A 25,171-nucleotide genomic window follows, 5' to 3' on the forward strand; every position below is an offset into this window, starting at 1 on the left:
TCACATACTGTTTTTGACCTTGAATAGTGCTCTCTGGCCTGATCATTAGCTTCACTCCCCAGACATGTTTCAGCATGTCATTTGGCTTCATTTATTCCAAAGTATCCATCAGGAGTCCACTTCCGTGGCATGTTGCCATATTAGGCACCTTGGAGATTATTAAGAAATGGTCATGGACCCTTCTGGTCTAATGGAGCCCACACTCTGGAAGAGAAAAATTTAAATGAATATGTAAGTGCAATGGAGTACGACATGGTGGTGCATAAAGAGAATGATCAGCTCCATCTAATTTGGTGGAAGGACGTAGTTTGTGGAAGACTTCACAGAGGAGGTGTTTTTGAGATGTTTCTTGAAGAGTGAGTAGTTACTGGAAAGTTATATGGCAAAGGTACAAATCGAAGTATAGTATAGAATAGCCATGTGTTTTTAGGGAATTACAGTTTTATATGAAACAGAAGATGATAGAAGATAAAATATGAGAAGTAAGCAGGACCTGTATCAAAAGGGTTTTTTTTTTCCCCAGGCTAAGGAATTTGGATTTAAAAAAAAAAATCATTTTTTGTGTGTGTCCTCCAAATGCCAATAACCGAAGCATATATAAACAAAGGTGCTCTGGTTTAGGTGGGATTTTGAAGCCAAAGCTCCTTGTCTCCTTGGTGACCCTAAGAAACTTCGTGGAAGCACTGGGGCTTCATGACGAAAGCCTAAAAACCACTATTATAGGTGATGCTGAATTATTTAAGAGGAAGTAACATGTTTGGACATATACTTTTAAAAGATCACTCTTGAAGCAGGAAAATTAATGAAAGGGGTGAGATGGACACAGACAGATCAGTTTGGAGGCCATTACATGGTCCAGAAGAGAGATGGGCCTGAACTAAGCCTATGGCAGTGGGGAAGGGGTAAGTTTCAGTCATATTGAAGAGAGAAGAATCACAGGATTTTTTATGTTTAGGTATAGGCAGTGCAGGAAAGGAAAGGGAAGAAGATTAGGGTGATTCTTAGGGTTCTAGTTTGGGTTATTGCATTGATAGTAGTGCAGTCACCACTCTAGGGAAATACGGTGGAAGGAGAGCAAAAATAGTTCAAATGTGGACAGGTGAAGGTCAAATCTTATGTTTGAGGCAGTGTGTTTAAGGAAGATAGTCAGTTGTTGGCTGTATGGGACCAGAGCTTAGTGGAAAGGTCCGCTTGAAGGTAGAAGCGTAGAGATGTCCGCAGTCTACAGGGAACCCTTAAAGCCATTGGAAGGGCAGATCACCCAGAGAGAGAGCAAACCGAAGAGATGAGAGGAGGATGAAAGGTATGACCTTGGGATAACAACAGTTCCTCATCCTAGAATGAGGAAAGGCATACAGGAGACTGAGAAGGACCAGCTTAGTGTCGGGCACTGGCCCAGGAGAGAGAGGTGTCCACTAATGGAGAGAGATCAAGTGAAATCAGAACTTGTTCTAAAAATAAAACCCACCCTCAAAGGATAAAGAGATAAAGATTTTCCACCACTAGGGATATGCAAAAAGATATGCCTCTGGCTTCTGGTACATAAAAATTTTATGGTTGTGATTGTTCAGTGGTTGCCTGATTTCCTTTAAAGTTTTTCCACTTAAAGTAATAGACATTTTCAGGAATCCCTTTGTTAAACTAGCATAACCTAGCACAAGGTAGATTGGCAGAGTTTAAGATGAAAGTAAACAATAATAATCATGATGGCATATGTACCAGGCAACTAATACAAGAATTGTGGAGAGGTTCTGTTATTATCACCATTTGGAGTTATGGGAAAGACCCACAGCTAGGAGGTGACAGCGGGGATTTGAGCAGCCAGCACTCTAAAGAATATATTAATACTTAGTTCTTTCTGATCTGGCCTGCATTTCCATAGATTTCTATTGAAAAAAAGTACTAATAAAATGAAATTTAGCCACCAGGACACGTTTCCTAATGAAATGAAATTTAGCCACCAGTGCACGTTTCCTAAACCTGTGGGGGTTTTCTCCTGTATTTTGGGAGGAGGGGAGGGAGAATGTGTTTTTGGTAATAGGAGACTGTTTAAAAATTGTTACTTGTTTGAAGACAGTTCTATGTTACTACTAATGGGAAAATGGTCTATAAACATTTCCTGGGGAAGTCAACCCTTGAAAAGCCGACACTATTATAAGGAGTAAAAATATCACATTAATTGCCCTGTAAAAAGAATGCTCTTTTGACACTGAAATTTCCTTTTGTGCAATGATTTCTTTTCACCCTAAATTTTAGAGTTTGAATGTTCAAAGTTCACCCTTCCTTTTCTAATATTAAAATAGTTTTTTGTAACAGAATTTGTTTTTGTCGTTAAGTTATATTTCTTTATATTTTTACTACTTATTTGCTAGATGTGTTTACTTGAAACTTGTTTTCTGCATTCTTTCTTGTTTTAAAAATGTGATGCAAATGAAGTTTTTGAGTTAAATTAAATTTTATAAAATTTACATACAATAAAATTGGCCTTATTTTGGTATACAACCCTATAGGTTTTTTATGGTTTTTATTTGTTTGTTTGGGTTTTTTTTTGAAATGGAGTCTGCTCTGTTGCCCAGGCTGGAGTGCAGTGGCATGATCCCGGCTCACTACAACCTATGCCTCCTGGGTTCAAGCGATTCTCCTGCCTCAGCCTCCCGAGTAGCTGGGATTACAGAAGTATGCCACCACACCTGGCTAATTTTTGTATTTTAGTAGAGACAGGGTTTTGCCATGTTGGTCAGGCTGATCTCAAACTACTGATCTCAGATGATCTACCTGCCTCGGCCTCCCAAAGTGCTGGGATTACAGGCATGAGCCACATGTCCTATGAGTTTTAACATCTGTATAAACTCACGTAACCACCACCACAATCAAGGTACAGAATGGTTCCATCATGCTCAAAAATTCCCTTATGCTGCGTCTTGCCCAACCGAATCCCTAGCAACCAATGTTATGTTCTCTGTCCCTACAGTATTGCCTGTTCCAGAATGTCAAACAAGTGGTTTTGTTCACTGAGCATAATGTCTTTGAGATGCTGAGTGATGGCATACATCAGTTGCTCAGCCCTTTTTATTGCTGTAGTGGTGTTCTGTTGTATGGATGTACCACCGTGTATTTATCCATTTACCCTTTAAGGAACATTTAGATTGTTTCCAGTTTTTGGTGATTATGAAGAAAGTTGCCATAAACATTTGTGTACATGTTTTTGTTTGAACATAAGTTATCATTTTTTTAGATAAATCCCTGTAAATGAAATTGCTAGGTCATATGCTAAACGTATGTTTAACTTTATAAGAAATTGCCAAACCGTTTGTCAGAATGGTAGTATTTTGCATTCCTCCTAGTAGTGTCTCAACTTTTAAAAACTTAAATGCTATTTTAGATGCTCTTGGGTTGGGGTTGGCAAATTGTGTTTCGCAGTGCCTTGGGGCTTTGAGAAGATGCCCCAAAACAAAGGGAGGACTTCTAGGTCCTCCATACCAGCTTCAAAGAGAACTGTTCCAGTTTTGTTTGTTGTATATATTGGGAGTTGCATGTAAGGATACATTTGGGGAGAAAAGAGTTTTATCTGCAAAGTGTTTAAAAACCATTGCAGTAGGGAAGTGCACCCACAATGTGAGATGTGGACCACAGGTGATACAGGGTGATGCTAGGTGGCACTTGGGGACTCTGCACATGAGGACCACACTGTGAGGCAGTGATTCTCTCTTCAGCTCCATCTGTTTATGTGATTATGTCAAGGAAGTCTTCATTTAAATCTGCTGCATCGTTATTCTCCACCACTTGTTAATATCTTCCTTTACAAAGAGGGAGCATGCTTTAGTCTCAGAGCCCTCAGCAAGCAACAGTATCTCTCTAGAATGAAATAAATATATAGTTTTGTTTATATTTACTTTTATGATTATCTTCTTTTTTTTTTTTTTTTTTTTTTTTTTGAGACAGAGTCTCGCTCCCAGGCTGGAGTGAAGTGGCGCGATCTTGGCTCACTGCAAGCTCTGCCTCCCGGGTTCATGCCATTCTCCTGCCTCAGCCTCCTGAGTAGCTGGGACTACGGGCACCTGCCACCACGCCCGGCTAATTTTTTGTGTTTTTAGTAGAGACGGGGTTTCACCGTGTTAGCCAGGATGGTCTCGATCTCCTGATCTTGTGATCCACCCATCTGGGCCTCCCAAAATGCTGGGATTACAGGCCTGAGCCACCGCGCCAGGCCAATTATCTTCTCATTTATAAGTACCATTTTTCTTTTGAAGTGAACTTATAGTTTTAAAAAATGAGCCAATTATCATAGTATCATTTTTTCTTTTTTTACTTTTATCTAGAAATTACTACGAAAAATGAGTCAATTTAAAGAAAAATATTAAATACTGTATTACATAGTTCATATACAAATGTGGCAAGAATTATGAGGATGTGCTAGAATAACTGAAGTTTAGGAAACTCTTGAACTTCTAGAGGATCTGGTTATTTAAAGAAACCTTAGAGTGAATCCTTTTGTGAAGTGAAGAGCTCCTTGATAAAGCACATAACTATTTCTTAGTTTATCCATTTTATGAGTTTATAATTTATGTAATAGTTCTTAAAAGAAGATAGCCTTCATTGTTCTTTGTTTTTGTAATACTTATTTTTCAAGTCCCTTCTTTATTCACTGATTTGACAGATATTTTGTGGGCAATGGGGATACGGTGTTGAACTAAACAGGCGACATCCCCTTTCTTTGTGAAACTTTCTTTCTTACATCCTTCCCCTCTTAGAGGCTGTTCAGAGCCTATGGAAAACAAGGGCCCCTGGATAAAATGTAAATGATATGAAAGGCAAGGAAGAGGTAAATGACTTTAAAAAATAAACATTTTAATAGATTCACAGGGGGGAAAAATTTTGTTTTGATCATGTTAGCTAGCTAGATGTCTACTTTGTCTTTCATTTGATGCATTTTTGCATTTTGGTAAAATAATATGTATCCACAGATATAACCACAAACTATGTGACTTTTTTTTTTTTTTTTTTTTTTTTTAAGACAGAGGTTCACTCTTGTTGCCCAGGTTGGAGTGCAATGGCGCGATCTTGGCTCACTGCAACCTCCGCCTCCTGGGTTCAAGCAATTCTCCTGCCTCAGCCTCCCGAATAGCTGGGATTATAGACGCCTGCCACCACACCCAGCTAATTTTCTATATTTTCAGTAGAGACGGGGTTTCACCATGTTGGCCAGGCTGGTCTTGAATTACTAACCTCAGGTGATCCACTCACCTTGGTGTCCTAAAGTGCTGGGATTACAGGTGTGAGCCACTGCACCTGGCCGATAAAGTACTTGACTTTTTGAGGTTCCTTTCAACTTTAAGAACATGAAGTAGGGTGTCACAGACAAGGAGTAGTACCGTTGTTAGAATACCCGCTAATGCTCAGACCTCTCTGAAATTAGACATCTTTTAGATTAGAGATCACAAATTGGTAGCTGCCTAAGTTCTATTCAGCCCATTGGTGTTTCTCATTTGACCCACATGGTATTTTTTTAAAAAATTTTAATGAGTTTACAAGATTTACAAAAATCAGTTTTTACATTAAACACACACACACACACACACACACACACACACACACGCACATACCAGATTTCTTGTTTATTTTGAAAATTCATGAATCTAGCATCAGTGAGCCAGCTTTTCTGAATGTCAGAGCTGGCTGGATCTGAATAGTGCGTGCCTTTTTTAGGCAGAACATGTGCTGTCTTTCAGTAACCTCTGCTTAACTCATTCATGTTATGTGCCTGGCCCAGTGAGTATTTGAATTTGCAACCTGTGGATCCTGGGTTTCATGCACTGGAATTACCTAGAGAAGCTGAACATTCCTCCTTGTGCTGGAGGGCTGAAAATGTTGTTGCCACAGAAGCTGCTTGAGTGTCCAACTGGGCATATCTTCCAGCACAGTAGATGGAATACTGGGATAGGAGGCAGAATCAGGGTCCTTTTCCTGGCTAGTGTCAGGTGGATTATCCAGGCTTCTTCACAATGGAGGTACTATTTTCTGACTTACCTGTTTGTATCAGTTAACATTTTTGATAGCAACAGAAACAGATTCTGATGTGGTTTTTTTTTTTTTTTGAGATGGAACCTCACTCTGTTGCCCAGGCTAGAGTACAGTGGTGTGATCTCAGCTCATGCAAACTCCATCTCCCAGATTTCAAGCAATTCTCCTGCCTCAGCCTCCTGAGTAGCTGTTATTATATGTGCACGCCACCACGCCTGGCAAATTTTTGTATTTTTAGTAGAGATGGGGTTTTGCCATGTTAGGGAGGCTGATTTCGAACTCCTGACCTCAAGCAATCTGCCTGCCTCAGCCTCCCAAAATGCTGGGATTACAGGCATGAACCACTGCACTCAGCCCTGGTGAATTTAAACAAAATGGGACTTTATTGAAAGGATATTGGGTGACTGACACTATCAAAGGAAAAGCGAATGATCTGGCCTCGGAAAGTTCTGGAAACTAGAGATACTCTGAGGACCATGGGTGGAAGGAATTAAGGGAATTGATAAATTGCCTCAGCATTTTCCCCCGTTTCTTTATCATTCCTCTCAAGAGTCTGAAATCCTGGAAAAGAATCAATTTGGTCTGGCCCACATCCTTCATAGGGGAAGATAGGACACCTTGGTTGACAGTCCCTCTAAGACTTTATACCATGAAAGAAAAGACTTTGTAAGAAGAGATTTAGGTGATGTTGCCAGACAAAGGGGATGAGGTATGGATTTAAGCAATAGAAACAACAAATGTTCACTACTCCTCTTCTCAAGGTTGTCATGAAGATATTAAATATGCGCTGTCAAATGCTATCAAAGAGTAAGGGAGTAGTGTTTCAAGTTACAGGAGAACCAGGTTATGGGTATGCTCTTTAAGTAAACAAATATATTGGCGTCTGTTAGATAAGGAATATATTGAATGACTTAGAACACAGACAATTTCATTGAAATTGTAGTGGCAATTTCATTCCTTTTAGCAATTGCTTTGGTTATAAAATCTCCAAAGAAGCCACACTAACTTTAAATTATAAAACAACATCTATAAAAATCTAAAGATGTTCTTTGAGATACTCATTCAAAGAAATGGTCTTTCTGATTTTTGTGTTCCCATTTTTTTCTTTGCAAGATCTTGATTTGCAACAGGCAAGGAAAATGAGTGAATCTTCCCCCTTCTTCCCCCACAAAACATTGCTGGCATGGGTAGAAATTTAAAGTAATGATTCAAATAAGAGAGGCAGAGAAAGCCTCAGCTGGGTGGCAGGAAACAAGAGAGTGAAAGTCAGAGGCTGCTCTTTTTTAAAAAGGCAAAACAAACAACTCACAGTGAAGTGTACGTGAAAATCATTTCTAATAATAGCTCATGGTAGGCAATTCCCAGGAAAAAAAAAATCGTTGGTGTGCTGAGAAAATTAGAGTAAGAATGCGCAGTATCTTGATGTGTTACTTAAGGCAATGGAGCTTTAGAGTTTACCTTATGTGCCATGTACATTGATTAAATACAAAATATATGCCGGCCATTTTTGGCCATCATTTACTGCATTGATTTGTTAGCAGGGGAACTGTAATAAAAAAGCCATTGATTTACTGTCCTTATTTGCTTATGGGCTTTTTTTTATTATTAATTTTTCACTTTTTCTTTCTCTGTTTTGGATCATTTCTTGTAGACAAATGCTGTGCTTCATGAAGTTAAAAGAGAGGGGCTCCCCGTGGAACAAAGGAATGAAATCTTGACTGCCATCCTTGCCTCGCTCACTGCACGCCAGAACCTGAGGAGAGAATGGCATGCCAGGTTAGTTCTGTTGTGAAATGGGATTTGTTGTTCTTGACAAACAAGAACTATATTTGGCCAAGCCCTTCCTTATGGCTGGCCTCATCCCTTTCCTTTGAGGGCCCATGAAAAATAAGCACGTTTAAGATGCTTTCAGCTAAAGTTAGCTTTCCTGCCCACGGCACCTACATTAATTGTAATGATCCATTGACGTCATCAGTATATTTACACAATTTGTTCCCAAATATAACATTTAGCATAAGTGTTTGCATTTTGAGCATAATGTAATATAAGTACCTGATGCTGAAGAACCCTTTTTAATCAACAGTGTAAAAGACTAGCATTGCTATTTCATTAGAGCAGATGTCTGAGAAATCCATATAGTGCTCCTATATCACTCTATGCAGGGCAGATTACTTGAAAGTATAGTCATGCATCCCTTAATGATGGGGATAGGTTCTGAGAAATGTGTTCTTAGGTGATTTTGCCATTGTGTGAACCCCGCAAACCTTGATGACATAGCCTACTATACACCTAGGCTATATGGTGTCGTCTGTTGCTCGGGGGCTGCAAACCTGTACAGCATGTTGCTGTACTGAATATTATAGGCAGTTGTAACACAACAATAAGTATTAGTGTATCTAAGCATAGCTAAGTATAGAAAAGGTACTATAAAAATATGGTGTTATAATCTTATGGGACGGGACCACTGACATATATAAGGTTCGCCGTTGACCAAAACCTCAAAATGTTGTTACGTGGCGATGACTGTAGCCTATTTATCAACCCGATTTTTAGGGTTGACCAACTAGGAATGACTCTTGTTTCAACCTGGTCTCTTTCCATAGAGTTGCCTGTGCTTAGAAACGGTGTTACTGGTGAAAACTTTCTTTAAATCATCAGTTTTTACAGAACTGATGCTTGCATAGTAAATATCATGTGGTCCTATTCTGTTTTGAAAAACAGTTGATATGTGGGAGGCTAGAACTAGTTCTCGCAAATGTTAGGATTATCTTTTAGATCTGTAGTTTGTAAAAATTATTGAATTGTCATCCGTCTCTAAGCCAGAGGGAGAGGAATCAGGAAGCGTATGGCATATTTTGTCTCAGAGTCTTATTTGGTGCTTAAAAATTCTATGTGCCTGGAAGTCAAGAACATTTATTGATAGACATAATATTCTCCAAATGACTTCATGCAACAGAATTTATAATAATTGATAGCTTTACTAGTAATAATTATCATAAAAATAAGTTTGTCTGAACAAGGCTGAAGATGAGCATTTTCCAAGAAAGGAGACAGTATGAGTATTTATTCTCATTGGATATCAGAAAGCTGCTTTTTCAAATATGTATTATCTTTAAATTCAGACTTGTATTTAAACAGTAATTTAAAAATTCCCAATGATATTCACCCTCCCCTTCCCCCATCTTTTTGGTGGTGTGGTCGGAGTAAATGGCAGACAGTTTCTTTTTTTTCTTTTTAGAAAAAAATGTTTATAAAAATAGACACAGGATCTTGTCATGTTGCCCAGGCTGGTCTTAAACTCCTTGCCTCAAGCGATCCTCTTGCCTTGACCTCCCAAAGTGCTGAGATTACAGGCGCGAGCCACCATGCCTGCCCAGTGGCAGACGGTTTCAACTAAAGTAATGACTAAATGATTTCCAATTTACCTTTCAATAATTAATTTTAAAATTTTCTCTGTATTATAAGTTAAGCATGTATATTCATTAAAGTATACATAGTAAGGAATGGAATATCAGTTTGTGGACATCTAAGGGGTTTCTTTGTCTCTGTTTGATGTCTTATGTCGCCCTCACGATGATTCCAATTAAATAGAAAGGGAGGAAGAAAGAATTTCCCTGTAATATCTCCTCTGCTTCCCTTCCGTCCAAAGACCGTGTGGCCCAGTGAGAGCATAAATGGATGTCTTTTGTTGAGTGCATTTGGTTTGTTAACAATAATTTTTTAATACACCAAATCATTAGACAACATGGTCAAAGTGGCCTGTTTAAAAGGAATCTGCTTTCAGCATTTCTGGCCCTTACTGCTAACAATTTAATCAGGAGCTGGAGCCAGTGTTGAAGTTGATGTAGTCTAGCAACTGAAACAAAAATTCTCAAGTCCTTTGTGTTAAGGGAGGAGGAAAGAAAGAGCTTAACAGCTGACACTGTGCAGACCCCCTTAAAACTAAACACCTGAAAGAAAATTTCAAGAGGCTGGTGTCTTGAGATCTCAGAAGGAAAAGTGTCCTCAGAGTATTAAATAACCATAATCCTTCTCCCCACCACTTCTCCACCTCCATTTGATGTTTCCCATCTTAGTGACCTATCTACAGACTCATCCATGCGATCCGTATAAACAGACGGTTACCATACACCTTTCTTTTCCTCATCAAAGTGTCATCTGGCTGTCTGGAATTGGGCATTGCCTCGAGTAGCCGTCAAATGGGTGGTGGTGAAAGTTATAAAACATCCACTGCAGTGCTTACTAAGCAGCCTGTGTTTTAGAGATTGGCCTATTGTGTACTTCGGAATTACACAAGGAAAAATGTGCTTTGACAGAAAATAATTAGCACTCACCAAAGGCCAAGCAATAGGTTACAGTATTTTACTTTCATCAAAGCTATCAGGGGATCAGTTAGATTAGATAATAGAAATTTTTTTCCTCTGAAAGTTAAATACACATGACTCTAATTACCTTATATTGCACATTAGAGAGTGCATTATGAATTGTACAACTTCAAGAAATTTAGGTCAACGGAGCCGCCGCAGCTGGCAGTAACTTTAGTATAAGTCTTTTGTAATAAAGGTTTTTACCTCTCTTTAGCAGGTTCATTTGCGATCATATTAGGGAGAATTTTTAAAGTAAAACTTGTAACCTGGTTGTAAAATATTTGTCTGTCTCTCAGGTCAGGCGCCAAGCCATTGTTTGGGACTCACTGAAGTCTCTTAAACTGAAGCATATGTTCCTTGTAATTTAGCTTTTTGAGGAAAGTGTCAATTTTGCATGACTTGGGGTAACCGAGTTTGTCACAGTGTCACACAACCCAGCGACTCTAGAGGCACATCTGAGTGCTGTGGGTTTCCTTCTCCAAGCTTCGTAATCCCATAAACAACCCTCTCCAAATAGGCTTATTAGGGCTGTCTATTCACTTCCCCAGAGTTGAATGATCCAAAGGACATCGGGAGAAGCTGTGTGAATGCAGGGTAAGTGTTAACAGAAGTGGGACAGAATTTCTGAAGATTCGCCTTTGTTTATCCAGTCCCCTCTGCCTGATGGACAGCTTGTTATAGCTTTTAAAGAACTGGGCGAGCCCTCTGATCTGACCCCTTCTTGACCTGCGTAGCCCAAAGGTCAGTCTGCAGCTAATAAACTCTGAGGTTCTTAGGGTCTACTGTAGGAAAAGGCAGAAAAAGAGCAGCTGCAAGGACCGGGTGTCCCAGGATAGGCTACTTTAGGGTCACTCTCTGATAATGAAAATGATTACCAAATTATATGGAAGTTTAACTGCAATCGTGAGTGAGAGGAGGGTGGGGCCCGGCGTATTAGGTTTGATAAATGAACTGTGAAGAGGCCCATCTGGCTCTCAACATCTTTTCTCCCCCTCTTTCCCTACCAAGGGGAAACATTTTAAAATAACAGCAGTACATATAGACTCAATGACCCATGCAAGGAGCTGGAATGGATTAAGATTTAATGGTGACAGTGGAAGAAATTATCATTTGAAAAGTGCTCCAAAGAAAAGGTACAGTTCAATGTCCACACCCGAGTTGTCTTTCTAAATAAAATATAATAAAAATCAGCGCCTTGTTTATTTTCTACAAAGCCCTGGCGTCTTTCCTAGATGGCTGAAAATTTTGAGGGTGTTGTTTATTATGGGATAATTATTCATAGTTTAGCTTCAGGAACGGAATGGGCTTCCTTTGCCTTGAAGAAGTCAGAATGAGAATCAAAGATTTTGTTCTGCCTGCCTGCTTCATTTCAGTGATGTAGGTAAATCAAGTGTTAGAGAAAATGCTTTTCCAAAAAAAGTGTGTCCATGTCAGCATCTGACCACTGATTATTGTGCACTCTTTAGTACTAAATATATGTGTGACTCTTGAACAGAGTCTTATTCCTACTACAACCTGGCAGTTTTTCTGTAAATATAAGAAGAAAGCACATAATGTTAACTGAGTAGTTACGTTTGGTTCTTTCTTTGTTCCTTTTTTCAAAGAAACATCATGGTGATGCTAATTATTGCCAACAATGGATGGGGTCACTATACGCTATTCGTCTATTTATTTATCGCTAATTGATAAGATTAGTCTATTTAAAGCTCTCCCCCAGTTTCTCATGAACATAGAGTCTTGATTTCAGACCAGTGATGATGGAGGCCATGTAGCTCTGTTCTTTTGCAGAGATGAGTGGCACATGCCATGAGTCCACTTTCTGAAGGGAGAATGATTTCATTCAGTGAGCATCTTTTTGTGTATTTTGTATACCTACTGCATGAGATGCTGTGCATAATAGGGAGTGAGCTAAGTGGCCAATTTCAGGGTTTATCTGGGGATGAGAATGTAGAAAGTTCCTAGAAAGAGGCTGTGGAAGGCAGTGGCAGGGAAAGCAGTGGAACCATCGTTACCACAACAGAGCGGCAAGTTCTCTGACCCACTCAGGAAAGTATTTAATGGTAGATGTCTTGGAAGACTAGAATTGTTGTGTTACTGAAAACCCTTTGGCTGGGCATGGTGGCTCACGCCTGTAATCCCAGCACTTTGGGAGGCCTAGACGGGCGGATCATGAGGTCAGGAGATGCTGACCATCCTGGCTAACACGGTGAAACCCTGTCTCTACTAAAAATACAAAAAAAAAAAAAAATTAGCCGGGCTTGGTGGCGGGTGCCTGTAGTCCCAGCTACTCGGAAGGCTGAGGCAGGAGAATGGCATGAACCCGGGAGGCGGAGCTTGCAGTGAGCCGAGATGACGCCACTGCACTCCAGCCTGGGAGCGAGACTCTGTCTCAAAATAAAAAAAGAAAACCCTTTATATTGAACTATACTGACTCGTAATACAGGCCTCACCCAGACAATAATTATGTTAAAAAATCAAAACAGAAGGCTTCTAAACATTATCCAAAGTTAGCATATTTTTCATCAAGGTTTTGGCTTGACTATCTATGTCTGGGGGCATTTCGAGTGAGCAGAAAGCCAGGTAGAGGATAATTCAGGGAGATGGCAAATACTTTGAGAATCAATTGTGCTTTTTAACTTTAAAGCCATGGCCCTAAATTTTTGCTAAGTGAGGTGTAAATACAAAAAGCAAACCAAAAAAAGAGATGAAAGCAAGGTCATTAGGGTTTTTAAAAAATTGAGGTACAAGTCATATATAACGTAAAATTGCATATAACAAAATTTATCGTTTTAAAGTGTACAGTTAAGTGATTTTTTAGTATATGCACGAGATTGTGCAACTGTTACCACTATCCAATTCCAGAGCATCTTCCTTCCCCAGAAATGAAACCCGGCATCTGTTAACAGCCACCCTCCATTCCCCCTTCTCCCCACAGTCCTGAGCAACCACCAGTCTACTTTTTATCTCTACAGATTTGCCTATTTATAACATTTCTTATAAATGAAATCATACAATACGTGACCTTTTATGTCTGGCTTCTTTCATTTGGCATACTGATTGTAGGATGCATCCATGTTATAGCATATAAGTACTTCATTCTTTTTTACTGCTGAATAATATTCCACTATATCGATGTGCCACATTTTATTTATCCAGTAATCAACTGATGGGCAGTTGGGTTGTTGGACAGTAATAAATTGATGGACATTTGGGTGGGTTGACTTTCTGGCTATCATGAATAATGCTGCTGTAAACATTCATGTACAAGTTTTTGAGTGACATATTTTCAGTTCTCTTGGGTATATACCTAGGAATGGAATTGCTGGGTCATATGGTAATTCTGTGTCTAACTTTTTGAAGAACTGTCAGGCTGTTTTTCATGTCTGTTACACCATCTTATGTTCCCACCAAGAACGCACAAAGTTTCCCATTTTTCTATGTCCTTGTCGTTACCTGTTATTTTCATTTTTTTGGACTGTAGATATCCTAGTGGTATATTATTGTGGTTTTGAATTGCATTTCCCTATTGACTAATGGTGTCGAGCATCTTTTCCTGTGCTTTTTGAAAACTATTGCTTTTTCAATCGGACATTTTAAAACATGGCGGACTTAAGGACTTACCCCTCTTGTTGGTGATAAAGAGCTCAGAAGCCTGTTAAGAATATTTGGCTTGTAGAAGAGGTGAGGTTCCAAATGGGGCTGTCATTAAATTGCAGCAGTGCACGTTTCCCCGTTACCATGGTCAGGCCTGGCTCTTTATTTATTTGCATGTGGCCCCACTTATTTTTTTCTAGAGATTACCTACTTATTTCTCCTACCATTCTCTTACATTTCATTCAACATTGCACACTGGATAGGAATGTAGCCTGATTAAATGGAAACTCGGTACCTTTATAGCTCTTTAGCTTTTAGGCTCAAACAGGAGTTACTGTACTCCCATAGGAGACAACTTCATTTGGGTCGAAGGAGCCTTAAAAATGGTGCTGAGATTCATTTCAACTAATGTTTATGGAAGTTTCTTCGAAAAGCTTTTAGAACTACTTGCTTCTACTTAAAAGTGACTCTCTTAAGATCCAGATAACTTTATGTAAAAATATCTTCCTCATATTGGTCTAAGTTCCCATTTTTTTCTGGACTGGTAAAACAACGGTCTTATTATTAGTCATCTTTCTATTCTCTGTGACCCCAGCCATCCCATCACCACCTACCCCCAGAATGGATCCACTCTGGACATCTTTGTTAAGGCTGTAAAATCTGGTTGTTGGAACCTAGAATGTGTAATGAATAGGATTTACTATTCCAAGTTAATCAGCTTTAGAACTTTGATCGGGGCTCAACAAGTATAACACTTTGTATAAGTTACTTATATGGATCAACTAGCACACTGAGGTGTTCTCCACCGGTATCTGTCTCCCCTTCTGCCTCCTAGCTAGTCACGGATTATATGCAAAACCGACAAGTCGGCACCGTCCAGTTTAGCAATTAACTATTATTTATTGAGTGTTTGTTAGGTGCAAGTAACTGTGCTAGACACTGTGGGGAATATCAAGATGAGTATGACGTGAGTCTCAACTGTGGAATAATTTACTTTAATGTGGAGGTGGTAGTTAATAAGAATACAATGGCTAGCACACACCCTTTAACTCTTTTTTCTATGAGGCACTGTGAAACCATAAGGTAATTTAGCAATGGGGTCTGCCCTAAGGGAACTTATATTTTGATAGAAGCTTAAAAAATGAAGTAACCTGACATTAATTATATATGGACTTGATTCTGTGTTTACATTTTTATCTCTCCTACCAGAATGAAAGTTTTATGAGGATTGGACGTTTGTTTGTTTACCAGCCGTAAAACATACACCTCAGGCCAGGTGCAGTGGCTCAGGCCTGTAATCCCAACTCTTTGGGAGGCTGAGGCGGGCAGATTGCTTGAGCTCAGGAGTTCGAGAACAGCCAGGGCAACATGGTAAAACCCCATCTCTGCAAAAAGTGCAAACAACTAGCCAGGCACGGTGGCGCACACCTGTAGTCCCAGCTACTTGGGAGGCTGAGGTAGGGGGAAGCACTTGAGCCCAGGAGGCAGAGGTTGCAGTGAGCCGATTGCATCACTACACTCCAGCCTGGGTGACAGAGCAAGACCCTGTTTCAAAACAAAAGAACAAATTTGCACCCCAGATCTTTGTAACATTAAGCTATCTCTTCCATTTGAATAATGCCCTCTATCAAAGGACCTCATTGCCTGTTTACCACATATCCCTGGCATCTAGAAGAATGCCTGACACTCAGATTTGTGAAATACCTTTCCTCTCAATCTATTCCAGTGTTTATAAGTACTTTGTCTGCTTTATTAATTTTGAAGAGGAATGACCACTTGTGATATTGGCCTGTTGCTTTTTTTGCTCTTTTTCTCAACCTTGCCTGGTGTGGAAATCTTGAAATTCGAAGTCAGGATGGATCTCTGATATTGGAAGTAAGCACTGGTTATTCATCTAACCTTGCCAGGGGTGGAAGCCTTGAAACTGGAAGTAAGGAGAAATCTCTACTATGCAGTTCTCTGGTGTTTAAGCCCCAACATGGTACCACAGGCCCTTATTCCAGCATGAGCAAAGAGGGATGCCATGTGCACAGGCTGACTCCAGTGTACTTGAGGAAGAGAACACCATGGGACTGGGCTAAGACCAGGACAAAAAGACATGGTCTCCTCCCTGAGCCACCATTCCTAATTTGTTGACTTTCCTAGAAGTGAAATGGAGCTGGGTGAGAAGAGGAAGAACTGGCATGGCGAGGAAGAAGAGAGTTATAAAGACAGCCCTGGGACATGCCTCTGAATAAAGGGATGGGTTTTAGTTCAGTAGGGATAGGAACAAAGCTGAGGCTAATATGGCTTCCAGTCTGTAGGCAGCTGTTTTTTCCTGGTCACCTGCTAATGTCCTCGTCTGCTTTAGTGATATCAGCACAGTTATGAACTTTAGCGTTGGTGATTCGGCATGTGGACTAGAACTTGGAGCTGTGTTCACAAAAAGTGGAGCTCCTCACCTTGAGGATGGGCTGTGGGATAATGAGACTGATGCAGTTATCTGCTGAGACAACCTGTGATTGTGTCATCGGACCACGTCAGCTGCTATCATTCATGCTAAAGAGACTGGCTGCTTACTCCGGCACAGCTGGTTAGTTGGAAACTAGAAGTTGTGGCATCTGTAGTTCGGTAGCTGTCAGTTGCTACTAGGTAAACTTGTTTGCAGTGTTGGGGTGGGCATGAGGAATAAATGGAAGAGATTCCAGGGAGAAGCAGGGAGGCACTGGCCTGCTAGTTGCCATCCGGGTCTTTTTTAAGACATCTGTCCCTTCGCTTTTAATAATTACAGTCTCTGCTTTTTGCTGCCCTTAGCAGAAGAAAGTTCTTTGTGTTTCTGATCCAGATTACTCCATAAAACCTGATAACTCCATAAAACCTCCTCAAAAATGTGTAGGAATTGAAACATTGTATAAATTTAGAGCAAAGATTAAATGAGTCTAGAGATAGGGTTACTTTTTTCCCCCAAGATACAGCAACTTATCTTAAGGAGGCAAGTGTTGTTAATGTTATTACCATTGTTACTGTCATTATTTGAACAGTTTTATGGGGGACAAAAGCCAATTGACTTCTGTGCATCTTATTTATAAAATCAACACATGGGCTTTAGCATGAACTCTGTTTCTGGCAGGTTTCTGACTGTGATCAGTTGCTGGCTGGCTGTTTCTTAGGGGCAGTGCTTCTTAAACTTTTTGAGAAAACATTGATTCATTTATTTATCCAACATACATTTATTAAGTGTCTATTGTTTTCTAAGCACTGTTCCAGGTTCACAGCAGTGAACAGAACTGATGACAGTTCTTTCATGGAGCTTATATTCTAGTGGAATGACAGATATGAACTCTTTTCCTAAGCGGAACTCTGAAAATTTCTTTTATAAAATGTGCATATAGTTGCTATGCCCTGTATATTCACCAGCACTCAACAGTGACCAAAATAAAGTCATTCAGTTGAGATAAAGATACACAGTTCTCTTTTCTGAGCTTTGTTATAAAGTAATCACTTGTTATAAAATTTACATTTCAAGTTGCAGTGGGTCATATTTGGGAAGTAGCCGTGGGATGCCAGTTTTCTGAGGAACACCATCCTAGGGAATCCGTAACATAAATTCTCCTTCAATTATCCGTACCGTGGTTCCCATTTACTTTTCCAAGACCTGCGTCACTTTAAAGGTCTTCATTTGAAGGAAGGCTTAAATTCAGGCCACATTATATTGACAAATCTCTCTGAAGAGAGAATGGGCAAAGCCATACCTATCTCATAGGTGTTGGGGGATTACCTGTGATAATGCACTCAAGTACTTCATAAATGCTGGGTTTTGTTGTTGGGAGTGATCTGTCAGTCATGCGTTGGTTCTGCAAATATTTCTTAAGTGCCTACCTGGTATGAGGAGCTATCTTAGGTCCTGAGGTTGTAGAGATGAGTAACATTTGATTAGGGGAAATGTATTACACAATGTAGAATCATAAATACTATGGAAGAGATTGAGTCATGATTCCATAGAAACCCACATCCCAGGGAAGAAGACAGGCTCTCCTTAAGTGTTCTCATAAGACTCTCATTATGTGCCCAGCGACAGTGAGAAATACTGCTCCATTCCCCAATTGTGTTGGCTACCAGTAGATAGGTAGCTATTTGTCTCAAAGCATGAGTGAGAAATAGGAGAGAAATTTATACGTGAGGATAGGTCATTGTATAAAAGTTGTGCTACCTTCTTTCCATTGTATAAAGTTTGTGGAGGAAAAATGGTTTTCTTTCAGAGTAAATTTAATTAATATGTTTGGGGGCATAGATTCTGAATCAGATTGCCTGGGTTTGAATCTTGGATCCACTTCTATAACTCCAGGCAAGTTACAATTGTGGATTGTAACTAGATGAGTTACTTAACCCCTCTGAGCCTCAATTTTCTCGTTTGTTATTTGCCTAGGGGATGATAATAATAGAACCCATTTCATAGGGTTGATTAAGTGATTAAATGTAAAACACCCAGAGCAAGTACCTGTAACGTATTAGGTGTTCAATAAAAATGACCTATCATGATCTTCAGATCAAAACAATAAAGCCAGGAATAAACCCAGCCACCCTTATCCAAATTGGCCTCTCCTTTGAGAGAATGCCTCATGAAGTAAATATCCTAGCCTCCTGGTAGGGGCCTGATATTGCAAAATTGGTGCAGGGAAGAACACTAGACAGAGTTGGTGCTCTGTGCTCAGCAGTGTCACACAGAATTGACAGGTGGAGGGCTGGACTCCAGTTTGAATCCCATCATTAGTGACTATAGGACTCTGGGCATGTCACAGACACTCTACGCCTTAGCAACTTTATGTAAGAAAGAAGCGACTTGATCTCGATCGCCCCAAAAGTGGGAGGCATCTTCCAGCTCTCACAAGGAGTGGCTCCATACGTGAGATCCCCGGGAGCAGGGAAAAGTGGATGTTACTCCTGATGGGTTTCACTCCTCTACTTCCACTTTCCCTGAAGTCTGCAATTGTACTAATTTTAACAACAATAGCAGCTGACATTTATTGAGAAGTCACTGTGTTCCAGACAGAGTTTTAAATGTTTTATATGATGAGAAAACCGAGGCACAGAGGTGCAGAGTAACTTGCCCAAGGCAACAGCTAGTAAGTAGTGAAGATGGAATTTAAGCCAAGACGGCCCAGGTTGGCCAAGAGCAATAACAAAGCTTTAGTTTTTAATCAACCACTGATACGATTCACTTAGTATTTTAGAGACCTTCTAGGATCCTTCTCAGTGTGGAGATAGGCAGGTATGTATCTTTACATATTTATTTCCTCTGGTACCTAACATGTTTTACACTTTTTAGTTGTGGGTGCATCTCTATAAGGAAATAGTATCCAGCTAATGCATTATCAATCTCCCTGCCATGGATCTTTTAAAGGAAAGTTATCACCTTTATATGCTCTGTCATTTCTTTTATATTGGTTACAGTCTTTTAGAAGGTGGGAGAGTAGGGGTGAAAATTAGAACACCAAAGTTTAGCCTCCAAGAATCTGTAAATCTCTGTAAATCCTCTAAGTCAAGTAATTTTGGGGCTGCGTTAGTCAAGGCTGATTTCAGTGGGTGCCCTTAAGGTGAAAGGGTAGCAATTTATCTACTCCATAATGGGTTAATCACCAGCTGTACAGTTTGTTTATATCTAGGAAACAATTTACCACACATGAAGAGTAGTAATTTTATTCTATCTCAGGGGTATCCCCAGTGTATTTTACAAATTTACTCTGTAATGTTATAGATAAAAGTTTAACTCTGGCTTTCAGTTGAGGAAGTCATGGTGGAGGAGGATGGGGGAAGGGGAAGGAACAGCTCTACTGGCCTGTAGGGGACACTGTTGCATCATTTATTAGAATTTTCCAGTCTATTGTCCCAGGACAAAAAAAACAAAACCAAACAAATCAGAAAACAAAAAAAAATAGTTGAATCACCTTGAAAATGCTTATTAGAATTATTTGAATCGTTCCAATGTGTTTAGAATGTTCAGGACTTCTCAGGTATTGGTCAGACTGTTCAGTATCCATGCGTGAAAGAAATAGGTTAGTGGTTCTTTCTGAGACAGGAGTGTTTGATGGGACTCTTCTGATTACCTTTCTCTCCATAGTCAACTTTGGATAGGGTGCTCAGGACGTTACTTTTTAGTTTAATAAACCTTTAGGTTTAGTTAACCATCTTCATTTTTTATTAAGATATGCTCATATTAAGTTGTTTTGCTTCCAGAATGTATGCTAAATAAATGTCCCAATCCTTGGAAGGGCGTTTTGGAAGTTCCTATTGTCTTCTTTTTATTCTTATATTTTTTTTCACTGAAAAAGTTGCTGTTTACTGAAAAAATGAAGTCATATCTACAAGGAAGGCTTATGTAGGGCCTGGTCTGAACTCCAGGAAGCATATGACCAGATGCTGTGCTACGGCTCTCTTTCCAGACTGTTGACAGCCATTGTATCTGTCCAGGTACCCCATGGCCTGGCCAGCAAAACCTCCACCCCTCTGCCCAGCTCTGGCCTCTTTCCTACCAGAATACGGGCCTGGGAGGCAACTGCAATGAACCCTCGGAAAGCATAGGTTTTGCTAAGGCAGCCTGCACAGTAATGATATTGTTAGCTTGCTTCATTTCCAGTTTCACCATCAATTACGCCATGTGTTTCATCCAGTTGGTGCTACCCTCCCAGTGTTAATTATAACCTACAAGACTGTTACAGTTAATTTTATGGCAAGCATATTGTCTCTTCAAGGCTCCAGAGCAGCTCATAAATTATCTTGAAGGTAAAATGTAACTTGGGGAACTAGTTATGAAAATTCCATCCATCTCGCTTAGGAGCTGCAGCTGCTACTGTCAGCTGCCTTGCTGCTGCACTGTGAAGGAATTATGGTGGGTCAAGTTTAAGAGGGTAGGCCCAGGCTGTCACTGAGGAGAAAGGCTGTCCTGGCCCTGTCAGACAAGTACCTTCTGCCAATCCCTGGTGGTTTCACTTTGCAGGCAGGAAGAGGCAGGCAGCGCAGGTGGATGGTCCCCAAGCTGTCTGTATTCATTACTTTACAGAAACTTGTTGTAGGTAGGCAGGTCCAGAGACCTTTCCTCTTCTCTGTTGTCATGATGTTAGGCATCATCTGCAAAGTGTGAGATAGATAACTCTATAACTAACTCTGGGCTTGGTTCAGGAGAGGAGGAGAATAAGGGGGCGGAAGCTATTAGTGGCAGCACTTCCCAGCCACCCCTTACTGGTCTCCTACTTGGTAATTTCTATCTTGCAAAAGCCCCTGGCTTGAACGAGCATTTTATTTGTGGTGGTGATTTTTCATATAATCTGATAAAGCGAGATTTCACTGTGGACGAATGTACTCGAAAATTGCCTACTAAATAAATTAACAGGTTATCTTATTGGGATAATAAACACACTCCTTTTCTATTTCCTCACACGAAGTCTAAGCTTTACATTTCAGCCCTCGGGGCTTTAGCATTATTATTTTTAATGACTGAACACAAGTCTTTCATTTAGCTTGTTTGTATAGTTACTGTAAATGATCTTTCTGCTGTTGGTACTTCATTTGAAATTCTGCATGTTATGCTAGCTTTAAAAGCTTTGAGGGGGCCTTGGAGAATTGGGAAGCTGTATTAAGCACAGCATCTTCTAGTGGCATTGGAAACGGGCTATGGCAGAAAAGTCAGAGAGGGTGTGTTAAGAAAGTACGCCTGCATGTATAAATCAAAGTCTGAGTTTGAGTGACGCGTACACAAACAGTGGTGGTTTCGGTGGCAGGTTGAGAACTCGCCATTGTAAAGTAAGAGAGCCATTCCCTTAGCTGGTGATTTCTCCTTGTGTGTTTCTGAGCACTTTTATTGCATTCACACATCTACTAGTTTTTGTACGAAGAGTGCCTCAGATCATTACACTGCGGCTGTATAAGAGACCTGGTTTGGAGGGATTTGAAGGACACATGGAATAGTGAATTCATGTCCAAAGAGGCACCGGGCTTTCTGAAGGAAGTATTCGTCTGAGCTTTTGATGATGGGGGCATGAGAGTTGGATATTTGTGAGTTTTCTAGTGAATGCTAGTGAACTCAGACCAGGGATTGCAGATTCAGATGTCTGTAGGCCATGGTAATCATGTATGTAGATAAAGCCAGAGAGGTGAGACACTGTTAAGTTCAAGGCAAAACACACGTGTGTGTGTATGCCAGAATCTGCATAGAGTAGAACAATGTTACAAGGTCACAGAGGCAATACCCAGATTGTCTTCTGGTCTCCTGGCCAGCGGACATTCACACTTTGTCTCAAGTGGGCAGCCAGGCAGCTGCTATCCAGCCTTGCGAGGAGGCAGGATCTATGTTAGTAGGTCTTCCACATTTTCAACAGAAGTGGAACATTCATATTGTATGTGTATGCTTCCGAAGTCTCACAGTGATTTAAATGTTAGCATGAATTCAAATATTTGTAACTGTTAGGCTAATCAAAACATGTGTGGAGCCTGGACATTGTGGGCAGGATTCTGCTATAGAATGAAAGTCCTGACTGCTTTGAATTAAAAACCTTCTCCATCTTCTCACACTTCTCAAGAATAGAAGGAATGACCCTGGCTGGGAGACCAGTACACAATCTGTGTATTGCCTCTGTGACCTTGTGACCTTGTAACATTGCATTATTCCATGTAGGTTCTTGCGCGTGAGTGTGTATGTGTGTACGTGTGTGTTGCCTTGAACTTGGCACTATTTCATCTTTCCTTTTATAAACAAAGTATATGAGAGTTTCCAAAAGTGAATGAGGTGTATATGGTGCTCATTGTCACCATAAAAAGGTGTCCACAAAAATGTTGGCAGTTTTGAATTTGATAAAGGGTTTAATTCTCAGAAAGGAAGGACTGGGACTTATTGCTAGTGAATCACCATTTCTCCTGTTACACCCTTGAGCTCCTGCTTTAGCTCCCATCTCCTCCATGGGGGAACCCAGCTGTTCTTTCACTGTAGAAGTGAAGCTTGAACAAAGATGTCATGTGGCCAGAATCATCTTTTAGTCTCACCACTCCACACTGATGGTCACATAGAGGTGTGAGTTGGGAAGTTGTTAAATACAAGAGGGTTTGAGCTTCTGGAGAAGAGGAAAATGTAAAAATATTTTTTCCTTTAAGAAAGATAAAAAGGTAAGCCTAAACCTTGGCGGCCACCGAAGTCAGCTGTTACGCATGTGTAGTTAAATTTCACTGTAAATATTTCATAAGGGTTCTTAGAATGGAGCCAGGTTGACATCACAGCCCCAACTGTACCAAAGGAACCATTTCATTAAAATAAGCCAACATTTCCAAAGAAACACGAATGTCTATGGCAGAGTTAACATAAGGTCAGAAAATCCTCTGGAAGAAATTTCGGTATCAATGTTTATAATCTCTGCATTTATGGATTTGCAGTTTGTGCAAAAAAAAAAAAAAAAACCCAGTGAGACTTTATTTTGGTTAAATAAGACTAGCTTGTGAAATAGTCTGTATATCCAGATCCATCCTAACCCAATGCCTTGGCAGCCTTTTGGATAAATAATGTCTTTTCCAAAATGTGTGTATTTGAAAAAGGAAGAGGAAAATTAAGTGGCAAACTGTGTCTCTGGGTTGCCATAAACGAACAGAATCCAGAAACAGAAAGCAAAGACTGACAGTTCATTCGTTCTTTAAACAAATTACATAGCTGTACGTTTATTTACTGATGCATGAAGGGTTGCAGTGAAGAGCAAAATGTTTACCCTAACTACTTTCATTTTCTTTTTTTGGGGGGGGAAAGTAAAGGTTTATTTAAACATTTTTTTTTTTTTGGTGTGTAACACAAAATCTATATGAGGTTTAGAGGCATTTGGCAGGAAAAAAAAAGATATTCACATTTGTAAAAAAAAAAAAAAAAAAAAAAAACTTAATCCATGCTCACAGATGGTCCTGTTCAGGTGCTATTTTAATTATGAGGTAAAAAAACAGCCCCACACAGTAGGAAGTCGTCTTAATAAATGGACTGGAGCTTTTGTCTTCAAGCGTCAAAAAGCCTCGTTACTGAGAAATTTAAATACTTTGTATTATAGGGGAGAGTCTCAAAATGACCAGGATACTTGGAGAAAGCAAAATGATGGATTCTTCTAAAGATCAAATGAGTATACGAGAAATGTTTTACAATTGTATAGCTTTGAGCTTCCTTAGTATTGGTCATTTTAGTGATATTTTTTCCAGTGATAAATGTCGTAGATATATTCATGCAGCCAGAGGAAAAATAAACAGAACAAATTACAAATACATTTAAAAAATTTTAATCCACGTGGAAGTATTTCTTTCCTGTTCTTAAGCGCAAAGGGCTGCTTTGCCCTTCATGTGAGAGAGTGCCCAGAAGAACTAATAGTAATTCAAATGATGCGGTAACTTACAGCTTGCATTAATAACACACAAATAGAACAGTCTTCTTACTAAATATTAGTAATATAATAATGTTTTACTGTCTTTCCCATAGTGGGGAATTATGAGGACCTCATGTTAGGACCTCAGTGTCCTGACATAGTTAATTATCCGTGGATAATGGCTTCAGCCACCAGAGTTCTCAGTGAGGCAGCTTTGTTGTTGAGGGCTTATTAAGTGTTTGCAGACTCAGGTGCGGTGCACCTAGGCTCTTTCCTACAGAAGCAAACAGCTGTGTTGGCTTTACCGTATTATACATCACATAAAGCATCTCATTTATTATAACGAAGCTAATGATGCTAGTGGAAACCTTTATGTCCCGTTCTATATAGTGATAATATATTTGCTGTAAAGTTGTTAGCTTGTTTTTCGTAAGTAATTAATCTTTTCTTATACCAAATGTATCACATGAAAATGGGTTAGCACAGGGTCAAAATACATTTAAACCAGTCTGCAGAGATTGGATAAGACCTTTGAATAGAGCATCACTTTTTTTCTTTCACAAGGACCTCACCCCGTCTCCAAGCTACCCCCCAACACAATGCTCACATTACTAGGAACTTAGGCTAATAACAGGGAACTGCTTTCAGTTTTTTAGTGCTGAGATAGGATTCAGACCTGAATGTGTACTAAGCCAAGTAAGCTTAGTGACAGTCATCCATGTTCAGTCCCTTAACAAGGCTGTGTATTGTCCATGTGGATAATTTTGGTGGTGGGTTTCTGTCTAATCTACAGTGACTTTGAGTTTGTGCCTAGGGAGACTCTAGTGAAATGTG

At 39.9% G+C, this 25,171-nt stretch overlaps 1 protein-coding gene across 24 annotated transcripts in view, besides 1 other annotated feature; it reads left to right on the forward strand.

The window, feature by feature from the left end:
• The window catches only part of FTO (FTO alpha-ketoglutarate dependent dioxygenase), a 417,979-nt gene that overhangs the window by 222,350 nt on the left and 170,458 nt on the right, over positions 1 to 25,171 (forward strand). For 18 of the 24 annotated variants that reach the window (NR_156761.2, XM_047434606.1, XM_011523314.4 and 15 more), the window contains one exon: positions 7,673 to 7,797. The exons of 2 other annotated variants lie outside the window; for them this stretch is intronic. Coding sequence is in view for 21 of the 22 variants with exons in the window: in XM_047434606.1 (XP_047290562.1) it covers positions 7,673 to 7,797 (125 nt within the window). In the remaining variant the exon portion in view is untranslated. Of the gene's footprint in view, positions 1 to 7,672; positions 7,798 to 10,936; positions 11,579 to 25,171 lie in introns of those variants that run through there. 4 more of the 24 variants (XM_047434608.1, NM_001438130.1, XM_011523315.4 and 1 more) reach the window with 2 other exon arrangements.
• Positions 19,645 to 19,939: an enhancer, noted in NCBI's record as "tiled region #7594; K562 Activating DNase unmatched - State 12:CtcfO, and HepG2 Activating DNase unmatched - State 8:EnhW". NCBI's record gives its function as "activates a minimal TATA promoter and a strong SV40 promoter by Sharpr-MPRA in K562 cells, with weaker activity in HepG2 cells {active_cell/tissue: K562 | HepG2}" and the evidence as "EXISTENCE:reporter gene assay evidence [ECO:0000049][PMID:27701403]".

Source organism: Homo sapiens, chromosome 16, assembly GCF_000001405.40.
Source record: "Homo sapiens chromosome 16, GRCh38.p14 Primary Assembly".
Classification (NCBI taxonomy): domain Eukaryota; kingdom Metazoa; phylum Chordata; class Mammalia; order Primates; family Hominidae; genus Homo; species Homo sapiens.